This window comes from Homo sapiens, chromosome 3 (genome assembly GCF_000001405.40).
Source record: "Homo sapiens chromosome 3, GRCh38.p14 Primary Assembly".
Classification (NCBI taxonomy): Eukaryota; Metazoa; Chordata; class Mammalia; order Primates; family Hominidae; genus Homo; species Homo sapiens.
Genome location: NC_000003.12, coordinates 137,670,632 through 137,697,377, shown reverse-complemented (window position 1 = coordinate 137,697,377; position 26,746 = coordinate 137,670,632). Strand labels below are relative to the sequence as shown.

Genomic DNA, 26,746 nt, shown 5'->3' with positions numbered 1-26,746 from the left:
CCTCTTTCCCATTGTTTTCTCCTTCTGGAACTCTCTTAATCTCTCTTTCATGCATTCTACTTCCTTTGTTTCTCTCTACTGCAATCTGGGTAATTTCTTTAGATTCATCTTCCAATTCATTTTCTTTTCAGCTGTATCTAATCTGCTTTATAATCTATCCACTGAGCTTTAAAATTGTATTATATAAACTTTTAATATTTTATTTGATTCCTTTATCAAATAATTTTATAGTTTCTTATATTTTGTATTAAAAATTTCTTTCCTTTTAAAAGCATTTTATACAGAGATATTTTATAAACTATATACACAATTTTAGTAACTAAAATACTTGGGATAGGAGAGTGTCCAAAACTGTGGTTTGTTGTTTCTACTGTATCTCCCTAATGGTGGCTCACTCTTTTTGTATTTTCTTTCCTTTTGTATCACAAATTTGTGTTTGAACTTAATCTATGTGAATCCTGAGGAGTTAGAGAGTGTTTCCCTTTCTTATTACCAGATGTGACAGGTTTTTATTAATTCTGAACTACTCGAATTTCTTAGCTAACCTATGAGTATTATACGTTTGAACTCCAGGTCTGAATGGAAGAGAGTCTAGGATAGCAAATTCTCTAGAGACTAGTATAATTATTATTATTGTTGCTGCAGTTATTTTCTATCCAGAATCATGGCAGAGCAAACATAATTCTTGCAGGTTCCTTTCATTGGCAGCTGGATAATTTTACCCCTTATTTCACCCATGGTACCACCCTTTTCAAGGGTCTTGGCATGATGTAAGAATCTTGGGCATATTTCCCACATTTTTCTTGACTATGTTTTATTCTTCCATTTCCCTGCACAGTAGTCAATCCCCAAGACATTGGGTCCCTGAATTGGTATTTGCCCTTAAGGCTTCACAAAATTTTGCTCATGGTTATCACTCATGAATTTTTTAAAAAATTATGTGTTGTTTTGTTTTGTCTTTAACAGGAATTTCTCCTACTTATTTTGAGTTCACTTATACATTTAAATATGTGTTTATTGTAACATATTCAGAATCTAGTCATATTAGACCTCCAGGGAAGGCATTTTGGAATATCTAGTCTGCCATACTTCAAGGAAGGAAGTCCCTTGCCTTAGACCTTTTCATTTAATAAACCACATCCTCCTTATTAGTTTCTTTGTTGAACCTAAATAAAAATCTAGAATTTTTGTGTGTGAAAGGCAGGTGAAAAACCATTTCAAAACCACTGATATACTGTCCCAAGAATCTATCTTAGTAAAAATTGAGACTATTTAAGTCTACATCCTAATCTCTTGAGAACTTCCCTGTTCTCCATGATTCCATAAAAATTACCAATTACAGTTTGGCATTTGCCTCTCTCTGTTCTCTTTAGTCTCTTCTATGTAATTCATTTGGATCTGAAAGTGCTCATATATTTTCTCCTTATCTTTCTTAGAACTCATTTTTTCTTACTACCTGCTTGGAGATTATTCTTCTTAATAGAGAAGATAAAAGTTTTATTAATACACAAATTGTGGAAGAATTGTCAGGTGAAACATTACCTTATGAGTGGCTTACCTTGTCAAAAAGAGAAATCCATAGGCTATGGGTCTTATGTTCACATGGCTCTAAGTCACTTAACTTGGTACATGTCCTTCTTAACTTGACCTTCTGCGTGATGCTGACATCTGGGTCATTTTCAGAGGTATCTTCAGACCCCTACCTTCCTTTCTGTGCTGTTCCCGCTACTTCTGGGTGAGTTCCTCTAAAGAGCAGTGTGCCTTATCTCCTTAAATCCTGGGCTCCCATTGCCAAGCTCTGTTTTGCTAATGGAGTTAAGGGGGCTCTTTGATCTGAGTTCTATACACCGTGACTCCTGTTAAGTGTTACAAGATCCGTGGGCTGGGACAAAGAGCTGAGGTTTTGGAGTAAAAGGTTAGTGTTTCTGGGCAGCCTTGGGCAGACCCTGTGAAGCTGAACTGTGGCATCAGGACAGAGACGTTCGGTTTATAGTTCTGGATTCTGAGGTATAGCCCCACCAGATTTCAGGTAGAGCCAGCAACAGACATGCCTGGATACCAGAGTGACATTCAGAGGCCTGAGATAATAGTGATAGCGCAATATCCATGGCAGGAGCTTCTTGGTTGCTTGAGGTCTGCTGCAGCTTTCACACTAGAGTTTTTGACCTTTAGTCCTTACTCTAATGCCTCTAGTTTAAAGCAGCGGCCACACTAGTTTCATCATGGTCATTACTTCGTAGCAGAGGCAGCCTATGTGGATTGAAGACCACTCCAGGGACGCTGGCCTCCTTTTGTCATCTTGCCATTAATGCCAAAGAGAGTTAGGCAGGGATCCTGCTCACAGGACCCCCAAGGGACAAAGGTAGATCACATTACAGTAATGGAGGGAGCACTGGCTTGAATTCTGTTGGGAAGATATAACGTTAGTACAGTGAAGGAAAAGGAGAGGGAGGGCTTCATCCCACTGCGTTTTCTGCTGCTGCAACAACAGATCTGTGCTGGCGTCTGGGTGCAGCTCACAGGTCCAGCAGTAAGTGACATGGTATCAGACTTTTCTGTGCGCTTGTCTGTCTCCCCCGACTAGAAAATGAGTACTTTGAGGGCAGGGACACTGTTTCCTTTGTTTTAAAATGCTGTTTTAGTGCATGTAGGACCTTGGGAAATTTCTTAACCATCTCAAGTTTCCTCAACTGTAAAATGGGGATAATAATAGTACCTTCCTCATAATATTGGTGTGAAGATTAGCACATGTTGAATAAATAACACAATGAATGAAGTGACTTTCCTTCCATTTTTATTCTCTTTCAAGAAGTTCAAGCTGGATAATCTTAGTGTCGTCAAGCAGTGTGGAGTCATGTATAATGGTCTGAGTTCTCCCCTCAGGAGCAGTTGAAAAGAGAAGCAGTGGCCCACCCTTCCTTGACATCCCCACCTTTCCCTATCCCACCCGAATCTTCATGTTGTGTTGGGAGTTGGGTAGGGGTGGGGAAGCCCCATGCTGCTGAATACACTGCCTTTTAAGTCTTCAGAACTAAAGGCAAGGAGCCAGAATCAAAGATTACCTTGTTTTTTGGAGTGTATCACTGGCTATTGTCCCCATCAAACAAAGCCCTTTCATCAGAGGTTCTTTAAAACACTTTTTTTCCCCTCCTTTATTTTGCTTTGAAATAAGCTGGGCAACAATTAATTTCAGAGAGAGAGAGAGAAAGATAATTCAACAAGGATCTATTACTACTCTCAGCTTCTATTGCTGTAATGAAAATCTATTTCCTTTCCCTTTTGTGTCCCATATAATTTAATGCCCATTTTATTAATGGTCTGAAATAATTATGGAACCCTTTGTGATTCTCAAGTATGTTTCATTTAATTGTGCAATAAATGCCTAATCTCTTCCTCCATCTGAAGCTATTATGGCGTTAAAATTAACAATTATGCAGCAATGCGCTGGGGTCCATAGAAATCACTCCAGATAACTAGACATATATAAATCATTCATGAGAACAATTTCTGAAAAGAGATGGAGGGGAAAAAATTGTGTTGAAAATGACATTGGGAAGCCAAGGGCCCAGCCTGTAAGAAGATAGTAACACCTTTAAAAAATCTTTTTTCTTTCCTTTTTTGTTATTATTATTTTATTAATTGTGTATGTGGCATAGCCCTCCCCCCATTTCTATTAGCCTGACAGATATTTTCAGAATTAATTAACTGTTAGCTCTGAGAATAAATTGTTCATTATCAATTCCTCCCCCCGCCTTTCTTTCTTTCCTTTTATAGTTTTTCTTTTTCTTTCAGGCCAGCAATTACACTCCGTGCCTTTCTCCAGCAGCTCCTGTTCTGCACAGCTATCCAAATGGGGAAAGTGCTTTTTCTTTCAGCCCTATTCACTTCTCCTCTTCTCCCTTTTGTGGGATTTAATAACCATGGCTGATAGGCTCACTCTGGACAGAGAGGTTAAGTTTGTTGTCTCAGCACTTTGCTGACAGGGGACAGCACAGGAATTCTGTAACTTCTAACCAGCCCTGCGAGACTGCCTACGGCCTGGCCCACACAGTCATAGCTTGCAAGTAGTGTTTAGAAACCCTGCACCCCAAATATCCTGCTTACTTAAAAGCACTTCCATTGGTGCTGCTAAAGCCTGCCTCCATCTTTTAAAACATTCCTAAGTCCTAGGAGACTCCCAACAATATACTCCAGCCAAGACCCTTCCCCACCACAGGTGTGTACACACGTACGTATGTGCACATACACACACACACACAAATGCATGGTGTGGAGCAGGGTCAGAAAACCAAGTGCCTTCAGGGCTCAGCAAATATAGGTAAGTCAAGCTAGTGGACCGAGACTGTGGCAGATTGGAGATCCCATGCCCTGCCTGAAGGGGGCAGCTGCTGCTCAGCTTCCAGGGATTACTGCCTTTGGGAAATGAGGGCCCGGTGTGGCCAACTCTTCTTGTATTTCAGAAGCCTGAAATGTTAATGTGGAACCTACTAACTAATTGTTGACATGTTTAGAAAAATTAAAACACAGTGTGGACTAAAATGGGTAATATGGATTCTGGCTAGGGCTCCTATCTACTTTGGGCCCCTGCTCTAACGGATTGATGTTTATTCCTAGAATTTGGTCCAGCAGAAGATTCCTAGAAGAACAGGCTGGGTACACTGACTCTTGGCTGTCTATGCTTTGCAGACCCTGGTCTTGGATCTTTTGGGTCTAAGGAATGTCTAAGGTTGTTTTGAATGTTGAGCTCTATACTGAGGAGTGTACTAGGGAGAGAGGGTATCATCTCTGATTTTCTGCGAAGTGTCACCATTTCTAGATCATCAGTGTAAGCACTGAAGAATTATCAGGAACATGAACATCCAATCATGTTCATGTTCCTGACAATTTCACAAGTGATTTAGCTAAATATTAATTGAGGGCTCATGGGATTTAGAGTCCAGATGTGTTTGATGTGATGATGTCAGAAATATTGGCTGAATTGGCCGGGTACGGTGGCTCATGCCTGTAATCCCAGCACTTTGGGAGGCCAAGGCAGGCAGATCACCTGAGGCTGGGAATTTGAGAACAGCCTGGCCAACGTGGCAAAACCCCGTCTCTACCAAAAATACAAAAATTAGCCGGGTGTGGTAGTGCATGACTGTAGTCCCAGCTACTCAGGAGGCTGAGGCAGGAGAATTGCTTGAACCCAGGAGGCGGAGGTTGCAGTGAGCTGAGATCATGCCATTGCACTCCAGCCTGGGTGACAGAACCAAACTCTGTCTTAAAAAAAAAAGGCTCTATTGATGATAGCTAACATTTATTGGAACACGGTAAATATTGGGCCTTACTCTGTATAATTGATATCACATTAACTCATTTAATCTTCTTCCTAACCTTATTAGGTAAGTATTATTATCATTCCTATTTTACAGATGAAGAGATTGAAAAGTTAAGGAACATGCACCAGGCAAGCAGCAAAGGTAGGATTCAAACCCATGGCCCTGTGGCCCCAGAGCTCAAGCTCAATCACTGTTAAAGTATCTCCTTGCTTGGCACCTGATAGACCTGGGCAAGATAAAACACAAAGGTAGGATGTGACTGGGGAAAATTTTATCAAATAATAGCAAGAAAACACATCCATATGAGCTAAACAGTTGATCAAATGTTTTAATGTTCATTTTTTAACTTATAGACAACTTTTAATGACAATGAAAAACATTTTGATGAAGATCCTCAATATCATTGTGCTTCTCTCTTTATATACTGTCAAGATTGTTTTCTTAAAATTAAGTAATGGAGATGGAATTCTATCAAAGGGTGCACAAATTCCTAAATATTTTAAATATATGTATTGTCGAATTGTCCTTCAGCTAGGTGGTATGTACATCCCACTAACAGTTCTGCCATCATTTTTACTGGCCACATAGTATTCCATCACAAGGTGGAGATATAGTCATGTCAAACTTTAAGGTTTTCATCTAGCTTTTATTTAAACCTTTCTTGTAAAATTAACTGATCCTTTATCCCAGGGTTAAGTGAAAAACAACCTGATTCATGATGAAACTTCCCCACAGGATAAAAACATTCACTTTGGAACACAGACAAAGTTTGGCATCCAAATCGCTGTGAGGGTTTTTCTATCATGTCAATATTCTTTAGTTACGTGCTTATATGAATCAGCAAGTAGGAGTTATGTTGCTTTCTTAGTCCTTCCGGTTAGTTATTTGATTACAGTCTTTATCTCTTTTTATATAAATATTGTCTCAGGTTTTTCTCCTCCAGTAAAAAATAAGCAATCCTGCCTGTACATTTATATGTATGTAGCCTGGAACCACTTCTAGTAGCATTTCAATTCAAGTTTTGTGATTTTTCTGGTCCGTGAATTCTAAGCTGTTTAACAGACATCTCTACTCAATTTTGTTACTCAACTCCTGACTCAGATTTCCAACTCTGTAAGTTTTGTTTAAAGATATGATGCCTTTTAAAGAAACACACTGCATGTTTAAATAGAATATACAATTCTAAATAATAAATCACATGGGACCTGCTTTACATTGTGGAATATCTGTCTCAACCCTGGAGGCCTTTAAAAAATAGAATAATAATAAAAGCTGACATTTATTGAGCACTTATGATCTGTGAAGCACTGGGCTTTGCAAGCATTAATTTATTTGCTTTCATAGTAATCCTAAGAGGTAGGTTTTTTTTTTTTTTTTATCCTATTTAACAGATAAGGAACCAAAGCTTAGAGAGTTTAAGTAATTTGCCCAAGGTCACACAGGTAGTAAATGAAAGAGCCTGTATCCACTACAATCTTGTCTCCTAATCACTGTGTTATAGTCCCCGAAGTCTTGACTGGTGTTGGGCACAGTCCTAGGGACAAAGGCATCACAACTCTAGGCCACAGAGAACTCAGAAGTGAGTGCAGAGGCCTTTACCTATGTGTAGCCCATGTGTTTTGAGGAGTAGATATGTGGTTTTGAGATCCATTCAGCAGCTTGATGGGCACCAGTGCATGGACACCTGAGCCACAGGGCCAGCCCACCCAGCACTGCAAAACCCTGCAGCCTGGAGCGGGTTGGGTGGTTGGTGGTTCCCTAAGCCCGCTGCGATCTTGGAATAGTAATATATTCCTCTCAGAGGCAGATTGCAGGGGTGACATGTTATTACCTTTGCTAGCAATTGTTTTGTTTAATTTCCATTTTAAAATTTATTTCCTGTGAGAATGAACTGACTGGAAGTCATTTGTGCCAGGGAGGGAAGGTGAATTTCTTATTAACTCTCCCAGGTAATGGGTAGCTGCAGCTAGGGCTCTGTGAAGGACTTGAATTATTCAGGGTTGAGGAGGGCTGGGGAGGACTCAGAGAGGGCCTGATGGATGCAGTGTGCAGCCTGGTGGGAAGCAGGTGTGCTGTGGGCCTGGGACTTGAGGTGAGGACACCAGTCGAAGTTTTATACAAAAATCCTATAAGGACACTAGGCAAGTCCTTGCATTGGAGACAGCATCCCATCTTTTTCCCTGGCTGGAACATAGACCATATTAATGGCGAGGGGGTGAATAAAAGATTTTAATCACTTGTAAGAGTCCTTTCTTTGAAATAAAGTTTATCTGCCTTTCTATGGCTAGCAGATATGAAGATGGTGTCAATTGAAATTTGAGAGCTTTGTAAAAGGGAGAAGAAAGTGAGATGTGTATAGGGCAAAGGTGTGGAAGATGTGCAGGACCCCTTCCTCATCGCTCTGCCTGTGAACACATCTGAGGGGGACCCAGGGCAACTGGACCTTATTGTCCGGTGGCCTTGGTACTCCCTTCTCTGGAGTCCTTATTCTGGCTGGATGGCTCAGAACCTGTAGATTCAAAACCTCAGAGCCTTCCCCTCAGCACTCCCTTCCAATGAGTAGCCAGGTGTTGCCCACTCTCCCTCACAGGGGACTCAGTGTCCTTCCTTTCCTCTTTGGTTTACTGCCTGAGCCTTGTTTCAAGCTTTCATTCCCTCCTGCAAGAAATCCCCATTATGGACTGCTTGGCTTCCGCCCATGGCCTCTGAGGCCATCTTACAGGCTGGCACCAGATTGATCTTCCTAAGCATGGCTTTGGTGGTGGGACACACTTCTCTAAAACCTTCAATAGCTTCCCACCAGGTAAGATAAATGTCTTAGCTTGACAACTAATGATGTTCCAGCAATATTTCCCTATGGTCTATACTTACCTGACTCAAAGCAGCTGCTCCTTTTGCAGTGTCTCTGAATGTCCCTGGCCTTCATCCCCCTAAGCCCAGAGAAAAAGTTGGAGCCAGGCAGATCATATAACTGGAAGAAGCATGATCAATGGTACCCAACACTTGGTCTCAATTTAGAGGACAGAAGTAAAGGCTACTGTGAACTCCGGAGAATTACACAACACACATTCCATAACTAAGGTAGTAGCTGCTGCTGAGATCCAACTCATGTCTCCATGCAGGAATTCTGTTCTAGGATTTCTTAGAAAATGCATGTTTCTCTGAATCCAGAATCCTGAGAAAAATCAGTCAATAAGTCAAGAAAAGGTATTACAGCTCTTTGCCAAGAATCAAACTTTAACAATCAATGTAGATATAACTGGTTCAAAGAAATCGCTGATGTCAAGTTGAAAACAGGAGCAGTAAATGCTGATATATGGAATTGAAGATTAAGGTTAACTTTTCAAGGAATAAGTACAGGAGCATGGAGGAGAGAAGTGATGAAGATTTAAGTAGCCTTTATGATCTAATTGGTCAATCTTTCTTATGACTTGTCCCATATTTTAAGTGTGTGTTTGTGGCCTTGTATTCTACTTAGAGTGTGTCAATCTTCCAAATAAAATAAATATTAGTAAGTTTATATGAATAGCATACTTAAATCCTGTGAATGGCTGTTCCAAGAAAAAACAAATTTCAAAGCAAAGTCAGTCCTTAATAGGCAATTTTGACATATGGTTCTGTGTAGTGCAGTGAACCTTGCTAGATCCATTTGGTACTACCCAGTGATTCTCCCTGGCCTTTGTAGTGTTTACTATGGCCTACATTTATTTGCAAATACAGCTAAACAATATTCATTTATTAAAGAATTTTAAAAATATCCACAATAATGAGTAATGTATATGAAGAATTTTGAAAATATTTTTGAGAACAACATGATTTGTGGGGAATTTCTGAATATAATATTTCAGTTTCTTGTTCCAGAATCCTGAAGATTAATATCTGTGGGGAATTTTGAAACACTTGGCACAACTGATTGCTGCTAGAAGGAATGGAAGGTGGCCTCAGTGCTGTCAGATCTCCTTACTTTACAAGAGAAGTTAGAAATGTGGAAGTTTATGTCAAGTCTCCCAATTTAAAAAGTTGGAATATTTTATAATGTTCAATTTTGTGCTCTAAGCTGTTGATCTCAGCTTCTTTTGCTTAGACTGACTCCCCCTTCCCGTTCCTTCCCCACCTGCATCCCTGCTGGACGTTGCTAATATCCAGGTCCACATCTAACAGCAGAATTTAAATTCTTTCCTGGCTGGACTTGTGCTGCATCCATACATGTACCACCCACGGCACCCAAATGCTGAAGGGATCAATCAATATTTCTTAAGTTAATGGGTGAAAGAGAGTTGCAGACTACTGGATTGTAAATCTACAAATCTAGATCTTGACCTGCCAGGACTCATCATCAGATGACATACAACGTTTCTATCAGTGGCCACTTCCAGGGAATGAATGTTGGCCAGAGGCCAAACAGGGAATTACAGTGTGCAAATTCATGAATAGCCTGTTTACATTTCAAACCAGCTAAGCTCACAGCTTTTTTTTTTTAACCTAAAGGATTGTGCGTTATTTATAGACCCCTAATGACTATTAATAAGTAGAATTGTGGTTGAATTTCACAAATGTTACAATTGGAGAACAAACTCAATCTACACACATTCTTGTATGGAAATTACTCTGATTAGATCCTAATGACTAACTAAAGAGGTATTTGTCTATTCAGTTGCAGGGCAGAGAAGAGTAATTAGTTTATGCTCAGGCTCAATTCTTCTAGGAGACAGTAGGGTGAAACTTTTGGTCTTTAGACACAACACTCCAGTTCGTAAGAGGTCTCAGCTGACTTCCAAAAACTCCAGTGCCATGAGCCCTCTCCCAGTGAGAATAGGTCATCTTTGTGTTTCCCTCACACCAATCACAGAGCCTTGAACTTGGTGAGTGCTTAACAGATATTGAAAAAAAAAATTCTCAGTCTTTTAATTTTACCCCTTTATTTGGTTCAAACATTTATTATTTCCATAGTGTGCATTAAGTGCTAGGGATATAGAGAGAAATAGAACATGATCCTTTCCCTTTAAAGGTTCATATTCTCATAAGGGACAGACAGATGAACGTAGAGTGCTCTAAAACCTAGTGTGATGAATGCTAGAACAGTCCAGGACTCCATTATTTTAGATGTTCCCCACTGCATCTTGTACTTAACTTTAGACCTTCAACAGATCTGTATTGCAGTTTATTTTCTTGTCAGTCACCCCTGCTATACTGTGAGCAACTGGAGGGCAGATAATTTGCCTTAATCAGTTTTGTGTCCTGATGCTAGCTCAAGCCAGCACACAGTGGGTTTTCTATGAGGGTGGAGTAAATAAGTTAAAAAAGAGTGTCACCGGTCTTCCAGAGCTCTGACACTGCAAACTCACTCTGCCTTAAGAGAATGGAAGGAGAAGAGCCATCCCACTGGAAGTTCCCTAGGGCAAGGGGTCTATTGGGGTACATAAAAGCTTCCCCACAGGGAAGCTTCAGGAACCACTGCTCAGCCAGAGAAGTGGGTGCGACTTATAGCTTACTGCAAGGCTTGTGCCTCCAGACCATGAGTCCTGTTTTGAAATGCTTCACTGTAAATTAATATACCAACATCCTAATGAACATCCTAATGACTCTGTGAGGGTCCTGTCATTGGCATAAGTTGGCTTTCCTGAGTCCCACCAACTCCTGACCCTGGTCAGATCAAGTATCCAGGTCTACAAAGCTGGGGACCAGGCCTTGGAATGAAAGCGATCATGTGAGCTGGAGCTGCTTGTATTTCATCTTCCATTGCCACCTGAAGAAAGCCATTTGCAGTAGGAAGGAATGAGGCCAACAAACAAAGAAAAGTAAAGTCAAGAGATGGCTCCCTGATAACATTGTTCAAATGCCTGGATCTAGCTGTGCTTGAAAATAGCTGTCCTCTGGACTCTTTAGTTATGGAAACCAATAAATTCCTCCTCCTCTCTATTTTTTAGTTTAAGTTGGATTTATATCACTTGCATCCAAAGGAGCCCTGGATAATATACTCTTATAGTCCCACTTTTTAAGGATATTCTTCAATTTCTTAGAAAATACAGGTATAGGTTAAGGACTTGTGCTTTGGAGTGAGATAAACCTGGTTTCAATCTCTGACCACTGCATTGTGAGTCTCTCTGCTACAGCAGTCAGCCCCTTACCCTAACTAATACATCAAGTAAAAAATGATTCAGGCTTGAAGTGAGGTGGTGGCAGTGAGGACAGAAAGAAGGAGTTTGAGTGCTTTTACAACTTTAGAATTGATAGAATAGGGTAGTTTATTATATGTGTGAATGAGGGGCCAAGGAATGTTGGGGCTGCGGGGAACTGAGATGTCCTGGTTTCTGGCTTGAGTGACTGGTGGATAGTGGTGCCCAAGACCAGCTTCATGGGCGTGTTTCATGCATCCGTGATAGGCCCCAATCCTGGCAAACTTCCAGGTGGGCAGCTCTGCTCCTTCCGTTTTCAGAAGGCAGAATGAGCTTGCAGGGTCAGAGCTGTGGAAGAAAAGTGACACTCTTGCCCATTTATTCATTCATTTCAGTCCTTATGGAAAGCCTACTTTGTGCCAGCTTGAGCTAGCGCCAGGACACAAAATTGATTAAGGTGCATCTTCCGTCCTCAAGTTGGTCACAGTGTAGTGGGGACAACTGATGAGAAAATAATAAACTGTAATACAGAGGAGTTGAAGGTCTTAATTAAAGTCATACAAGGCCCCACACTTCGTTTAATGCTCTGCTGTTGCTGTCTTGAAATTCCTAATCATTGAACAAAGAGTCCTGCATTTACATTCTGCACCAGGCCCCACAAATTATGTGGCCTGTTCTGGTGTGCCATTCACTTAGAAAAGGTGTGATGGCAGAACAGTTTGGGGGTAAATGATAGTGAATTTGTCTTGGAAGTCTAAAGGTGGGGGCTGACAGGAGTGGTTTGGGATGGATGGAGGGAAAGAAAGAGCAGCAGTGGGGGTGGCTAGACTTCTAGGGTTTGAGGGGCAAGGTTTGTACATTTCTGTGGGCCAAGAGGATGTGCTCCCCACTCCAATAATCATAATAAAAACATGGGGACAACAGCTTCCTTGTCTCCTGGGTCCTGTAGTTTCTGAAAACCCCACTGACATGTGACCAGACAGGTTTATGAGAGGCAGAGCAGGATAGCTGGGACAAAAATCAGGCAACTTTTTGGATGAAGGTTTACAGAAGCAAGGTTAATATTCTCAATATCTTGCTCATACAGATGCTGTGAAAAGAACAGAAATGACTGCCCTTAATCTGCTGCTGTATTCCTTGGCAGATAATATTTTGTTTGTTTGTTTTTGTTCCAGCAATTTGACAGTTTGACTGTGGATACTATATCTCTCTGGCAACAGAACTCGAAGCAGTCCTATGCAGCTCATTGGGGTATTATTCAATATTTTAGCTTGAGAATGAAAAAAAGGCATTTTGATTGATTTAATCTGTGAGCCAGAGTATCTTGAGGTATAGTGCAAAGGGTGTGGGCTTTAAGGTCAGGCATCTCAGGTTCAAATCCATGTCTCATGAGTCAAAAGCCAAGTGATCCTGGGCAAGTCTTTGAGCATCTGTTTTCTTACCTGTGAAACATATGCACCTTGCAGGGTGTGGTAAGTATTGGAAGTAATATGAGAGTGACAGGATGTTGAACGGGACTTTTCCTGTTGACTTGGTTGACAAACCTGGGAAAATGTCTGATACAGTTTAAAATAAATCTCCCAAGGGCTTGCCAAGTGGTGGTCATACTGGTCTAGTAGCTTCTCCTCCAACGGCTTATGTAACAGAAGCTTAGAGCGTGCTTTGAGGAAGAACATTGGAAAGGAATTGGTAGGGGAAGGTTAGAAGTGCTCTTCTCCTACATTAGCTAAATGAGAAACAACCCAAAAGAATGACTTAGAGAGATTGGGGGTGCTGAAGAGAAAGGGAGACCCTCATTTCACTTCCTGTGCTGCTGGCAGAGTGTGACTTGAGAGGAGAGTTCTTGGGAGACTGATATGTCACTTGGAGTTCAAGGCCTGGAAACTGCTTCCCAGGGAAATGGATGGAAAGATTGGCTGGAGAGAGGGGAGCTGAGGTAGTGACCTTCACTTCATTTGGTGGTTAAGGGTTAGTGATCTTACCTGTAGGCTGCGGTGATGCCATGGGAGGTAACCAGGCAAGCACTGTCTTGATAACTATCTTCATCATGCTGTATGCTAGCTCTCCAGAATTTATTCATCTTGCATAACTGAAACATTGTACTCTGTGATCAGCATCACCCGATTTCCCCTTCCCCCAGCCCCTAGCAACCACCATCCTACTACTCACTTCTATGAATTTGACTATTTTAGATTCCACATCTAAGTGAGATCATGCAGTAGTTTTCTTTCTGTGTACTGCTGTTTTTCACTTAGTATAATGCCCTCCAGCTCCATCCATGTTGTCTCCAGTAGCAAGATTTCCTTATTTCCTTCCTTTTTTTCTGATGGGGTCTTGCTATATTGCCCAGGCTGGATTCAAACTCCTGGGCTCAAGTGATTCTCCCACCTCAGCCTCTCAAGTAGCTGGGATCACAGGCACAGGCATTTTTTTGTTTTATAAGGCTGAATTACACACACATACACACACACACATATATACACGTACACACACGTATTAATATATATGATATGCACACACACAATACCTCTACTATGTAGAGATCATGGATATGTTAACTAGCTTAATTGTGTTGATCATTTCACAATGTTTATGTAGAACAAAACATCAAGTTATTCACCTTAAATATATATAATTTTCGTATGTCGATCATACCTCAATAAAGCTGTTAAAAAGCTCTCATTATCCATCAACCTATCTCATAAGTGTGTCATATCTTATTTAGAAAATATAAATGAATACAAGTAAAAAAGGTAATTGCATTTTCTAAGTATCAGAATTCAGCTAGGGTGGTAATAATCAAAGTATGATCTTGATATTAGAAACCCAAGACTTTTCTATATAAACACCAAAGAGGTCTCCTGTAGTCACATGACAAATATTTGTATTTCTTGCATCATGTAAAATCCATAGCATAAATTTTTAAAAAAGAGAGTTGCCTTGAAAAGAACCAATCAATGGAAGAAAGTTATTTTCTAAAAAGGAAGTTTGTTGAGCACCTTAGGGCTGTGTCATTGAAGCAAAATCTTAGAGTGTTTGCAAGTGGTTAGCTAAAGAGAACATCTTCATCAGGAAATGAGGCAGTGAGACAGTGTTTGTCTGTTGGGCACTCCTTCAAAGAGAGAGACAGGATTTGGGCTCCTGCAATGAGAAAGACATTTAACAACTGAGGAGGACTTACCAACATTCCCATCTAAATTAGAAAAGTATTACCCACGTTTCCTCTATTTTTTTTCTCCCTGATCTGCCCCCAGTTGGGGTAGGAGGTAGAAGGGATTGGATAAAAGAAAAAGAAAAAAACATATCTTATCCCACTATCCCTATTTTTCCACCAAAAGCTTAAACCTGAATGTGGGGGTGGGAGGCGGAATGTCAAAGACAAGATATAAATGAAATGACAGGTTTAAATTGCACTAAAGATTTTATTTAAATTGGACTTGACTTTTTAAAAACTTTTAATTGAGGGAAACTTCAAACATATGTAAAAGTAGAGAAAATAGTATGATAAACACCCATGTACCTGTCATTTATTTTCCATAATTATCAATTTGTGGCCAATCTTGTTTCATTTGTAGTCTCAACCATTCCCTATCTCCTGAGTTATTTTGAAGCAAATCTGAGACATCATACCATTTCATTTTATAAATTTTTCAGATGTGTCTTTCTAAGATATAAAGACTCATTATTTAAGCATAACTTAAATATTGTTATCACATTTTATTTGACAATAATTTCTTTTTAAAAACTGGTTTATTTTTAATTTCTGTGGGTACATGGTATATATATTTATGGGGTGTATGAGATATTTTGATGCAGGCATACAATGTGTAATAATTACACGATTATCACCAGGCTAAATGAGGTATTCATCACCTCAAGCATTTATTCTTTGTCTCACTAACCACGCCCCTCACCCACCATCCCACACACTACCATTCCCAGCCTTTGGTAACCTCTGTCTACTCTCTGTTTCCATGAGTTCAATTGTTTTAAGTTTTAGCTCCCACATATGCATGAGAATATGTGAAGTTTGTCTTTCTGTACCTGACTTATTTCGCTTAACATAATGTCCTCCAGTTCTATCCATGTTGTTGCAAATTACAGGATCTCATACATTTTTATAGCTGAATAGTACTCCATTGTGTATATGTACCACATTTTCTTTATCCATTTATCTGTTGATGGGCACTTGGGTTGCTTCCAAATCTTGGCTACTGTGAACAATGCTGCAATAAACATGGGACTGCAGCTATCTCTTCAATATACCGATTTCCTTTCTTTTGAGTATGTACCTAGCAGTGGAATTGCTGGATCATATGTTAGCTCTATTTTTAGTTTTTTGAGGAACCTCCAAACTGTTTTCCACAGTGATTGTACTAATTTACATTCTCACCAGCAGTGTACAAGGGTTCCCTTTTCTCCACATCCTTGCTAGCATTTGTTATTGCCTGTTTTTTGGCTAAAAGCCATTTTAACTGGTTGAGATGATATCTCATTGTAGTTTTGATTTGCATTTCTCTGATGATTAGTGATGTTGAGCAGTTTTTCATATGCCTGTTTTCTATTTGTATGTGTTTTGAGAAATGTCTACTTAGGTCTTTTGCCCACTTAAAAATCAGATTATTAGATTTTTTTCCCTATAGAGTTCTGTGAGTTCCTTATATATTCTGGTTATTAATTCTTTGCCAGATGGATGGTTTGCAAATATTTTCTCCCATTTGGTGGGTTGTCCCTTCACTTTGTTGCTTGTTTCCTTCACTGTGCAGAAGCTTTTCATCTTGCTGTGATTCATTTTTGTCCATTTTCCCTTTGGTTACCTGTGCTTGTGAGGTATTACTCAGAAATCTTTGCTCAGTCCAGTGTCCTGGAGAGTCTCCCGAATGTTTTCTTGTAGTAGTGCCATAGGTTGAGGTATTAGATTTCAGTCTTTAATTCACTTTGATTTGATATTTGTATATGGTGAGAGTTAGGGGTCTAGTTTCATTCTTCTGCATATGAATGTTTAGTTTTCCCAGCCATTTACTGAAGAGACTGTTCTTTCCCCATTGTATGTTCTTGGCACTTTTGTAAAAAATGAGTTCACTGTAGATCTACACATTTGTTTCAGGGTTATCTATTCTGTTCCATTAGTCTATGTGTCTGTTTTCATGCCAGTATCATGCTGTTTTGTTTACTGTAGCTCTGTAGTATAATTCGAAGTCAGGTAATGTGATTCCTTCAGTTTTGTTCTTTTTACACAGGATAGCTTTGGTTATTTCTGGTCTTTTGTGGTTCCAAATACATTTTAGGATTGTTTTTTCTATTTCTGTGAAGAATCCCATTGATATTTTGATAGGAATTGCATTGAATCTGTAGGTTGCTTTCGGTAGTATGGACATTTTAACAATATCAATTCTTCCAATCCGTGAACATGTAATATCCTTCCATTTTTTTGTGTGTCTTCTTCAATTTCTTTCACCAGTGCTTTATAGTTTCCATTGTAGATATTTTTCACTTCTTTGGATATTTCCTAGTTATTTAATTGTATTTGTAGTTATTATAACTGGGATTACTTTCTCTTTTTTTTATTACACTGAGTGCTGGGGTATATGTGCAGAATGTGCAGGTTTGTTACATAGGTATACATGTGCCATGGTGCTTTGCTGCACCCATCAACCCATCATCTACATTAGGTATTTCTCCTAATAGTATCCTTCCCCCAGCTCCCCACCCCCTGACAGACCCTGGTGTGTGATGCACCACCCCAACCCCTGTGTCCATATGTTCTTTTTTCAACCCCCACTTATGAGTGAGAACATGCAGTGTTTGATTTTCTGTTGTTGTGTTAATTTGCTGAGAATGCTAGTTTCCAGCTTCATCCATGTCCCTGCAAAGGATATGAACTCTTCCTTTTTTATGGCTGCATAGCATTCCATGGTGTATATGTGTCACATTTTTTTAATCCAGTTTATCATTGATGGGCATTTGGGTTGGTTTCAAGTCTTTGCTACTGTGAACAGTACTGCAATAAACATACGTGTGCATGTGTCTTTATAGTAGAATGATTTATAATCCTGTGCTCTGTCCCACGGAGATGGGGGTTTTATCTATAAGTCCCTGACTGGGGCTGCTGCCTGTTTTTCGGAGATGCCCTGCCCAGAGAGGAGGAATCTAGAGACGCAGTCTGGCCACAGGAGCCTTGTTGAGCTGTGGTAGTCCTGCCCAGTTTGAACTTCCCTGTGGCTTCGTTTACACTGAGAGGGTAAAACTGCCTACTCAAGCCTCAGCAATGGTGGACTCCCCTCCCCCCACCAAGCTTGAGTGACCCAGGTTGACCTCAGACTGCTGTGCTGGCAGCGAGAATTTCAAGCCAGTGGATCTTAGCTTGCTAGGCTCTGTGGGGCAGGACCTGCTGAGTCAGACCACTTGGCTCCCTGGCTTCAGCCCCCTTTCCGGGGGAGTGAAGGGTACTGTCTCACTGGTGTTCCAGGTGCCACTGGGGTATGAAAAAAAAGCTTCTGCAGTTAGCTTGGTGTCTGCCCAAATGGCTGCCCAGTTTTGTGTTTGCTTGAAACCCAGGGCCCTGGTGGTGTAGGCACCAGAGGGAATCTCCTGGTCTGCCGCTTGCGAAGACCATGGGAAAAGTGCAGTATCTGGGCTGGAGTGCATCATTCCTCCTGGTACAGTCTCTCACAGTTTCCCTTGTCTGGAGGGGGAATATCCCCTGACCCCTTGCTCTTCCTGGGTCAGGTGACACCCTACTGTGCTTCGGCTCATCCTCTGTGGGCTGCACCCACTGTCCAACCAGTCCCAATGAGATGAATTGGAAATGCAGAAATCACCTGCCTTCTGCGTCATTCTTACCAGGAGCTGCAGATAGAGCTGTTCCTATTCAGCCGTCTTGCCAGCTGAGACTTTTGGGGATTACTTACTTTCTTGATTTATTTTTCAGATTGTTCACTGTTGGCATATGGAAATGCTACTGATTTTTGTATGTTGCTTTTGTATCTTGCAGGTTTACTCAATTGGTTCATCAGTTTTAATAATGTATAGTGTTTTGGTGGAGTCTTTATGTTTTCCCAAATATAAGACCGCATGATCTGCAAACAAGGATAATTTGACTTCTTCCTTTCCAGTCTGGATTTCCTTTATTTCTTTTGTCTGATTTCACTAGCTAGGACTTCCAGTACTATGTTGAATAACAATGGTGAAAGTAGGCATCCTTACCTTGTTCCAGATCTTGGAGAAAAGACTTTCAGTTTTTTCCCATTCAGATACTAGCTGTAGGTCTGTCATATGTGGTGTTTATTCTGTTGAGGTATGTTCCTTCTATCCCCAGTTATTTTAGGGTTTTTATCATAAAGAGATGTTGAATTTTATCAAATGGGTTTTCAGCATCAGTTGAAATGTTCATATAGTTTTTGTCCTTCATTCTGTGAATATGATGTATCACATTGATTGATTTACATATATTGAACCATCCTTGCGTTTCTGGGATAAATCCTACTTGGTAATGGTGAATGATCTTTTTAATGTGTTGTTGAATTCAGTTTGCTAGTATGTTGTTGAAGATTTTTGCATCAACATTCATCCAAGGTATTGGCCTGTAGTTCCCTTTCTTTCTTTTCTTTCTTTTTCTTTCTCTCTCCCTCCCTCCCTTCTTTCCTTCCTTCCTTCCTTCCTCCCTCCCTTCCTTCTCACCCTCCCTCCCTTCCTCCCTCTCTCCTTCTCTCTTTCTTTCTTTCTTTTTCTTTCTTTCTTTCTTTCTTTCTTTCTTTCTTTCTTTCCTTCTTTTCTCTCTTTCTCTCTTTCTTTCTTTTTCTTGTCTGTCTTTCTTGTCTTTGTCTGGTTTTGGTGTCATGGTAATATTGGCCCCATAGAATGACTTTGAAAGTATTCCCCCTTCCTCTATTTTTAGTAATAGTTTGAATAGGATTGGTATTAGTTCTTCTTTAAGTGTTTGATAAAATTTATCAGTGAAGTCATCAGGTCCCAGGTTTTTCTTTGCTGGGAGAGTTTTTTTACTACAGCTTCAATCTTGCCACTTGTTAATTTGGTTTGTTCAGGTTTGCAGTTTCTTTATGGTTTAGTCTTGGTAGTTGGTAGGTGTCTAGGAATTTATCCATTTCTTTTAAGTTTTCCAATTTATTGTCATGTAGTTGCTCATAGTAGCCTGTAATGATCCTTTGAATTTTTGCAGTATCTGTTTTAATGTCTTATTTTTGTTCATCTCTGATTTTATTTATTTGGGGCTTCTCTCTTTTTTCCTTAGTCTGGCTAAAGGCTTGTCAATTTTGTTTATCTTTAAAAAAATCAACTTTTTGTTTCATTGATCTTTTGTATTTTTTGTTTCAATTTCATTTACTTTTGCTCTGATCTTTCTTCTTTTCTAGTACTAACTTTGGGTGTGATTTGTCTTGCTTTTTTAGTTGTTTAAGATGCATTTTTCTGTTGTTTATTTGATGTTTTTCTTCTTTTTTGATGTAGGCACTTATAGCTATAATTTTTCTTAGTACTGCTTTCACTGTATCCCATGGGTTTTGTTTTGTTTTGTATTTTTAGTAGAGATGGGGTTTTGCCATGTTGTCCAGGCTAGGCTTGAATTACTGACCTCAAGTGATCAGCCCACCTCAGGCTCCCAGAGTGCTGGGATTACGGTCATGAGCCACCGCACCCAGCCTGTATCCCATAGGTTTTTGTATGTTGTATTTCCATTATCATTTGTTTCAAGAAAATTTTCAATTTTCTTCTTAATCTCATCATTGACCCACTGGTCATTTGGGAGCTTATTGTTTAATTTCCATGTGTTCATATAGTTTCCAAAATTCCTTTTGTTACTGATTTCTGGTTTTATTCCCTTGTAGTCAAAGTAGATACTTGATATTATTTCAATTTTTTGAATATTTTAAGACTTGTTTTGTGGACTAACATATGGTCTATCCTTGAGAATGATCCGTATTCTGAGGAGAAGAATGTGTATTCTGCTGCTCTTGGATGAAATGTTCTATAAATACCTGTTATGTCTATTTGGCCTTATAGTATGGATTAAGTCTGATATTTCTTCATTGATTTTCTGTCTGGATGATCTTTCCAGTGCTGAGAGTGGGGTGTTGAAGTAGCCAGTTATCATTGTATTGCAGTCTATCTCTCTTTCTTTAGCACTATTAATATTTGCTTTATATATCTGGGTGCTGTAATTTTGGGTGTACATATATTTATAATTGTTGTATCTTCTAGCTGAATTGACTTCTATCATTATATCATGATCTTCTTTCCTTCTTTGTCTGTTTTTATAGTTTTTGTCTTGAGATCCATTTTGTGTGATGTAAGTATAGCTATTCCTGCCCTTTTTTGGTTTCCATTTACATAAAATAATTTTTTCTATCCCTTTATTTTCAGTCTATATATATCTGTATAGTTTAATTATGTTTCTTGTAGTCAACTGATCATTGATTCTCGGTTTTTTTTGTTTTTTGTTTTTATCCATTCAGCTAGTCTATGTCATTTGATCTAAGAGTTAGTCCATTTACATTCAATGTTATCATTGATAAATAAGGATTTACTCCTGCCATTTTGTTATTTGTTTTCCAGTCATTTTGTGGTCTTCTCTTTTTTCTTTTCTTCCTTCTTATCTTCCTTTTAGTGAAGATAACTTTCTCTGGTATTTTAATTTCTTGCTTTTTATTTTTAGTATATCCATTGTATGTTTTTAGATTTCAAATTACCATGAGGCTTGCAAATAATATCTTGTAACTCATTATTTTAAACTGATGACAACTTAATGCTGATTATATAAACTAACAAACAAGTAAAAAGAAAACTAATAAAAACTGTATGCTTTAACTTCTTCTCCCCACTTTTTTTTTTTTTTCGAGATGGAGTCTTGCTTTGTCTCTCAGGCTGGAGTGCAGTGGCACGATCTCAGCTCACTGCAAGCTCCATCCCCTGGGTTCATGCCATTCTCCTGCCTCAGCCTCCTGAGTAGCTCGGACTACAGGTGCCCGCCACCACACCTGGCTCATTTTTTGTATTTTTAGTAGAGATGGGGTTTCACCATGTTAGCCAGGATGGTCTCAATCTCCTGACCTTGTGATCCACCCACCTCGGCCTCCCAAAGTGCTGGGATTACAGGTGTGAGCCACCACACCTGGCCTCTTCTCCCCACTTTTAAATTTTTATTTCTATTTATATCTTACTGCACTATCTATGTCCTGAAAAGTCATTGTAGTCATTATTTTTGATTGGTTCATCTTTTTATCTTTCTACTTAACAGATGAGTAGTGTACACACCACAATTACAGTGTTATAATATTTTGTGGGTTTTTTTTGTATACTTACTATTACCAGTGAGTTTCATGCTTTCAGATGATTTCATATTGCTTGTCAACATTCTTTTCTTTATGATTGAAGAACTCCCTTTAGCGTTTCCTGTAGGATAGGTCTGGTGTTGATGAAATCCCTCAGCTTTTGTTTGTCCAGGAAAGTCTTTATTTCTCCTTCATGTTTGAAGGATATTTTTGCCAGATATACTATTCCAGGATAAAAATATTTTCCTTCAGCACCTTAAATATGTTATGCCACTCTCTCCTGGCCTGTAAAGTTTCCACTAAAAAGTCTGCTGCCAGACATATTGGATCTCCATTGTTTGTTTCTTTCTCTTGCTGCTTTTAGGATCCTTTATCCTTTACAGTTGGGAATTTGATTATTAAAAATCTTGAGATAGTCTTTGGGTTAAATCTGCTTGTGTTCCATAACCTTCTTGTATTTGGATATTGATATCTTTCTCTAGGTTTAGGAAGTTCTCTGTTATTATCCCTGTGAATAAACTTTCTACCTTTATGTCCATATCTACCTCTTCTTTAAGGCCAATAACTCTTAGATTTGCCCTTTTGAGACTATTTTCTAGATCTTGTAAGTGTGCTTCATCTTTTATTCTTTTTTTTTTTTGTCTCATTTGACTGTTTTCAAAAAATCTGTCTTCCAGGTCACTAATTCTTTCTTCTGCTTGATCAGTTCTGCTGTTAAAGAACTCTGATGCATTTTTCAGTGCCAGTTAACATTTTTCAGCTTCAGAATTTCTGCTTGACTCTTTTAAATTATTTCAATTTCCTTGTTAAATTTATCTGGTAGGATTCTGAATTCATTCTCTGTGTTATCTTGAAGTTCTTTAAGTTTACTCGAAACAGCTATTTTGAATTCTCTGTCTGAAGGGTCACATATCTCTGTTTCTCTGAGATTGGTCCATGGTGCCTTATTTGGTTCATGTGGTGATGTCATGTTTTCCTGAATGATATTAATGTTTGTGCATGTTCATTGGTGTCTGGGCATTAAAGAATTAGGTATTTATTGTAGTCGTCACAGTCTGGGCTCATTTATACTCATCCTTTTTTATAAGATTTTCCAGATATTTGAAGGAAATTGGGTGTTGTAACCTAAGTTTGTGGTCGCTGCAGCTGTACCTGCATTAAGCGATACTCCAAGCCCACTAACACTGTGTTTTTGTAGACTTGTAGAGGTACCGCCTTGGTGGTCTTGGATAAGATCTAGAAGAGTTGTCTGGATTAACAGGCAGATGCTCTTGTTCTCTTCCCTCCCTTTCTCCCAAACAAATGGAGTCTCTCTTTCTTTCTGTGCTGAGCCACCTGGATTTAGAGGAGGGGTGACACAAGCACATCTGTGGCTACCACCACTGGGACTGTGCTGGGTCAGACCTGAATTCAGGACAGCATTGAGTCTTATCCTCCCTATCCCTCCCTCTACCTACCATTCTCAGACTCTAGTATCCTCTGTTCTACTTTTTACTTCTATAAAACAAGCTTTTTAAAGCTTCCACATATGAGTGAGAACTGTAATGTTTAACTTTCTGTTACTGGCTTATTTTACTTAACGTACTGTTCTCCAGTTCCATCTATATTACTGCAAATGACAGAATTTTATTCTTTTATATGGCTAAATAGTGCTCCATGGCATGTATATACCACATATTCTTAATCCATTTATCTATTATTAGACACCTAGGTTGATTCCATATCTTGGCTATTGTGCGTAGTGCTGCAATAAATATGAAGATGCAGATGTATTTTTGATATATGATGTCCTTTCCTTTGGAAAAAATCCTGGTAGTAGAATTGCTGAATCATATGGTAGTTCTATTTGTAGTTTCTTGAAGGACCTCCATATTGTTCTCCCTAGTGGTTGTGCTAGTTTGCATTCCCACCAACAGTATATAAGAGTTCCCTTTGGAATGTAAATTAGTTCAGCCATTGTGGAACACAGTGTGGTGATTCCTCAAAGATCCAGAAGCAGAAATACCACTTGATCCAGCAATCCCATTACTGGGTATACACCCAAAGGAATATAAATCATTTTATTATAAAGATACATGCATGTGTATGTTCATTGCAGCATTATTCACAATAGCAAAGACATGGAATCAACCCAAATGCCCATCAACAGTCGACTGGATAAAGAAAACGTGGGACATACACACCATGGAATACTGTGCAGCCCCCAAAAAAATGAGATCATGTCCTTTGCAGGGACATGGATGAATCTGGAAGCCGTTAACCTCAGCAAACTAACGCAAGAACAGGAAACCAAACACCACGTGTTCTCACTTATAAGTGGGGGCTGAACAATGAGAACACATGGACACATTGGTGGGGGACAACACACACTGGGGCCTGTTAGCAGGTTTGGGGGAGGAAGAGCATCAAGAAGGACAGCAAATGGGTGCTGGGCTTAATATGTGGGTGATGGATTGTTATGTGCAGCAAACCACCATGGCACATGTTTACCTATGTAACAAACCTGCACATCCTGCACATGTACCCCGGAACTTAAAAGTTGATTAAAAAAAAAAAAGAGTTCCATTTCCTCCACATCCTCACCACCACTTGTTATTTTTTGTCTTTTTGATAATAGCCACCTTAACTTGTGTAAAATAATTCCTCATTGTGGTTTTGACCATGGTTATTCTCCTAGAGAATTAAGGAGTCCTCCTGTGGGTCTGTTTGATGATGCTCCAGTGTAATATTGAAGAGCCACATTATCCTTTTGTTTCATTTTCCAGTGTTAGAGTCAAATCCAATAGTTTGCTTATTAGAGTTCAAATTATGTCATATCTTTAGTGACAAGATTCTACCCCACCCAATTAAGTATTGACCAATGAGAATTGCATGGTACACAAATAACATAATTTTGCTTTTATGATGTAAATATTGTAAAAGTATATCCATGTTTAAAGGCTTGAATTTTTAGGAAAGTCATTTCTCTTGGGATTCCTCTTCTGTTCCATTGGATGAGGGAAGGTGAGAGGGAGGTGAGAAAATGTGTTCCTGGGAAGATTAATTGTAGAATTCGAATGGGAGTAGAGGCTGATTGCCTCTGAAGGGTGAGTGGGGACAGAGAATTTGTGGATGTAGCTAAGAGTTCCCCATGCCTTTGCCTATGAGAGTCATCTTTCTCTATTTAGAAGAATGACTACTGACTTTTAGGCTTTTTTTTTTAAAGATATTTATTGTGCTTATCTAAAAACATTATGTGAGCAATAAATTGATAAATGCTGTATAAAAAATGTTTTGTTGAATGAGGTCTGGCTGATGGGGACTAGGGGTAGCAGATGTTGTATGCAAAGTACAGTGAGTTATTTGCTTCCAAGAAAAACAGATCCATCGAGTATCTTTCAATATGCTACATTCTCTGGAGATTTTTTCAAAACCCAGAGTCCTTAGTGATCTGTCCTTTATCAGCTTAGATGTTTAACTCCTGCTGACCTTTTATTGATTCTGGGAATGTGTTATCTTAGAAAGAGCTGGTTTCTGTCAATTTCCCCTCACTCATTATTACTGGGACTATATTTAAGATCTCCCATTTCTGTGGATCTATTTGGGACCCACTACCAAATTCATAGAATACTCATCCCTCCTATGCCTTCTCTGTTGCTAGGAGTCCAACACAGAAAAGTAAGTGTTCTCTACTTTGGAAATGGGTAAATCACCACTGCTCTTTACTATGTCTTCTGGGAGCCCTTGATTTCCTATTATAATGTAATTTTAAAAATATTTCCTGACAGATATGCAGATAGGCAGAATGAATGCTCTACCAGTTTTAAGAAGCCTGGAATCTGAGGATATGGAATAAAAGTTAACTTTTGAGAAAAAAATAGTGGTAGGTAAGGAAAGGGTTAGAGGAAAAAAATGGAAAAGATGAAAAACTGTTTTCACTGACACAAGTTATGGGACCTTAAGCAAAAGTACAGAAAGTGTTTCTTGTCCCGTGGTAAATAGATAGCAGTGGTAGATCTGTACTATTTGTAAAGAACAAGCAAGGTGTAAACATGAACCATTCCTCTTACCCTGACTTTGGCTCATTCCTTTATTTCTTTCTCATTTTATTCATTTTTATTTATTAATTCATCACATATTGGGCATCTGGGTATAGCAGTAAATTTGGAATATAGTGATGAAGAAGACGTGGTTCCTGCCCTCATAGAGCTCATAGTTTGCTCCTTTTCATTGCATTTTCCAATTTGCAATGAAATCCTACCATCAGGTTAGGCAATTTAGCTGAATTATTATTATGGAGATAGATAGGTAGATAGATCAGATACACATATATTCATAAGTATATTGTTATGAAGTCATATCCCTGTAATTATCTTTTATTATATTATTATCTCCACTTGTTCCCCACCAATTCATTATTTTTATTTTAATCGTTTTTGGGGTGGAGGTGGTTTTTGTTACATGGATAAGTTTTGTTTTCCATTCCTGACTTACTTCACTTAGAATAATGGTCTCCAATTCCACCCAGGTTGCTGCAAATCCCATTATTTCATTCCTTGTTATGGCTGAGTAGTATTCCATGGTATATATACATACCACATCTTCTTTATCCACTTATTTGTTGATGGGCACTTAGGCTGATTCCTTATCTTTGCAATTATTAATTGTGCTGCTAGAAAAATATATGTGCATATGTCTTTTTCATATGACTTCTTATCCTTTGGGTAGTTACCAAGGAGTGGGATTGTTGAATTGAATGATAGTTATATTTTTAGTTCTTTAAAGAATCTCCATACAGTTTTCCATAGTGGTTGTACTAATTTACATTCCCACCAGCAGTGTAAATGTGTTCCCTTTTCACCACATCCATGCCAACATCTATTGTTCTTTGACTTTTAAATTATGGTCATTCTTGCAGGAGGAACATAGTATATCACTGTGGTTTTAATTTGCAGTTCCCTGATGATTAGTGATGTTGAACATTGTTTCATGTTTCTTGGATGTTTGTGTATCTTCTTTTGAGAAATGTCTATTCATGTTCGTTCTT

At 39.1% G+C, this 26,746-nt stretch overlaps 1 long non-coding RNA gene across 2 annotated transcripts in view, besides 1 other annotated feature; it reads left to right on the top strand.

The window, feature by feature from the left end:
• The window catches only part of LOC105374126 (uncharacterized), an 87,216-nt gene that overhangs the window by 16,750 nt on the left and 43,720 nt on the right, over window positions 1–26,746 (top strand). For both annotated transcript variants that reach the window (XR_924533.2, XR_924532.1), the window contains one exon: window positions 5,412–5,459. This is a non-coding gene — a long non-coding RNA (uncharacterized LOC105374126). The remainder of the gene's footprint in view (window positions 1–5,411; window positions 5,460–26,746) is intronic.
• Window positions 1,541–2,506: an enhancer, noted in NCBI's record as "NANOG hESC enhancer chr3:137413714-137414679 (GRCh37/hg19 assembly coordinates)". NCBI's record gives its function as "activates a minimal SCP1, AML or CMV promoter by ChIP-STARR-seq in naive H9 embryonic stem cells {active_cell/tissue: H9 hESC(naive)}" and the evidence as "EXISTENCE:reporter gene assay evidence [ECO:0000049][PMID:30033119]".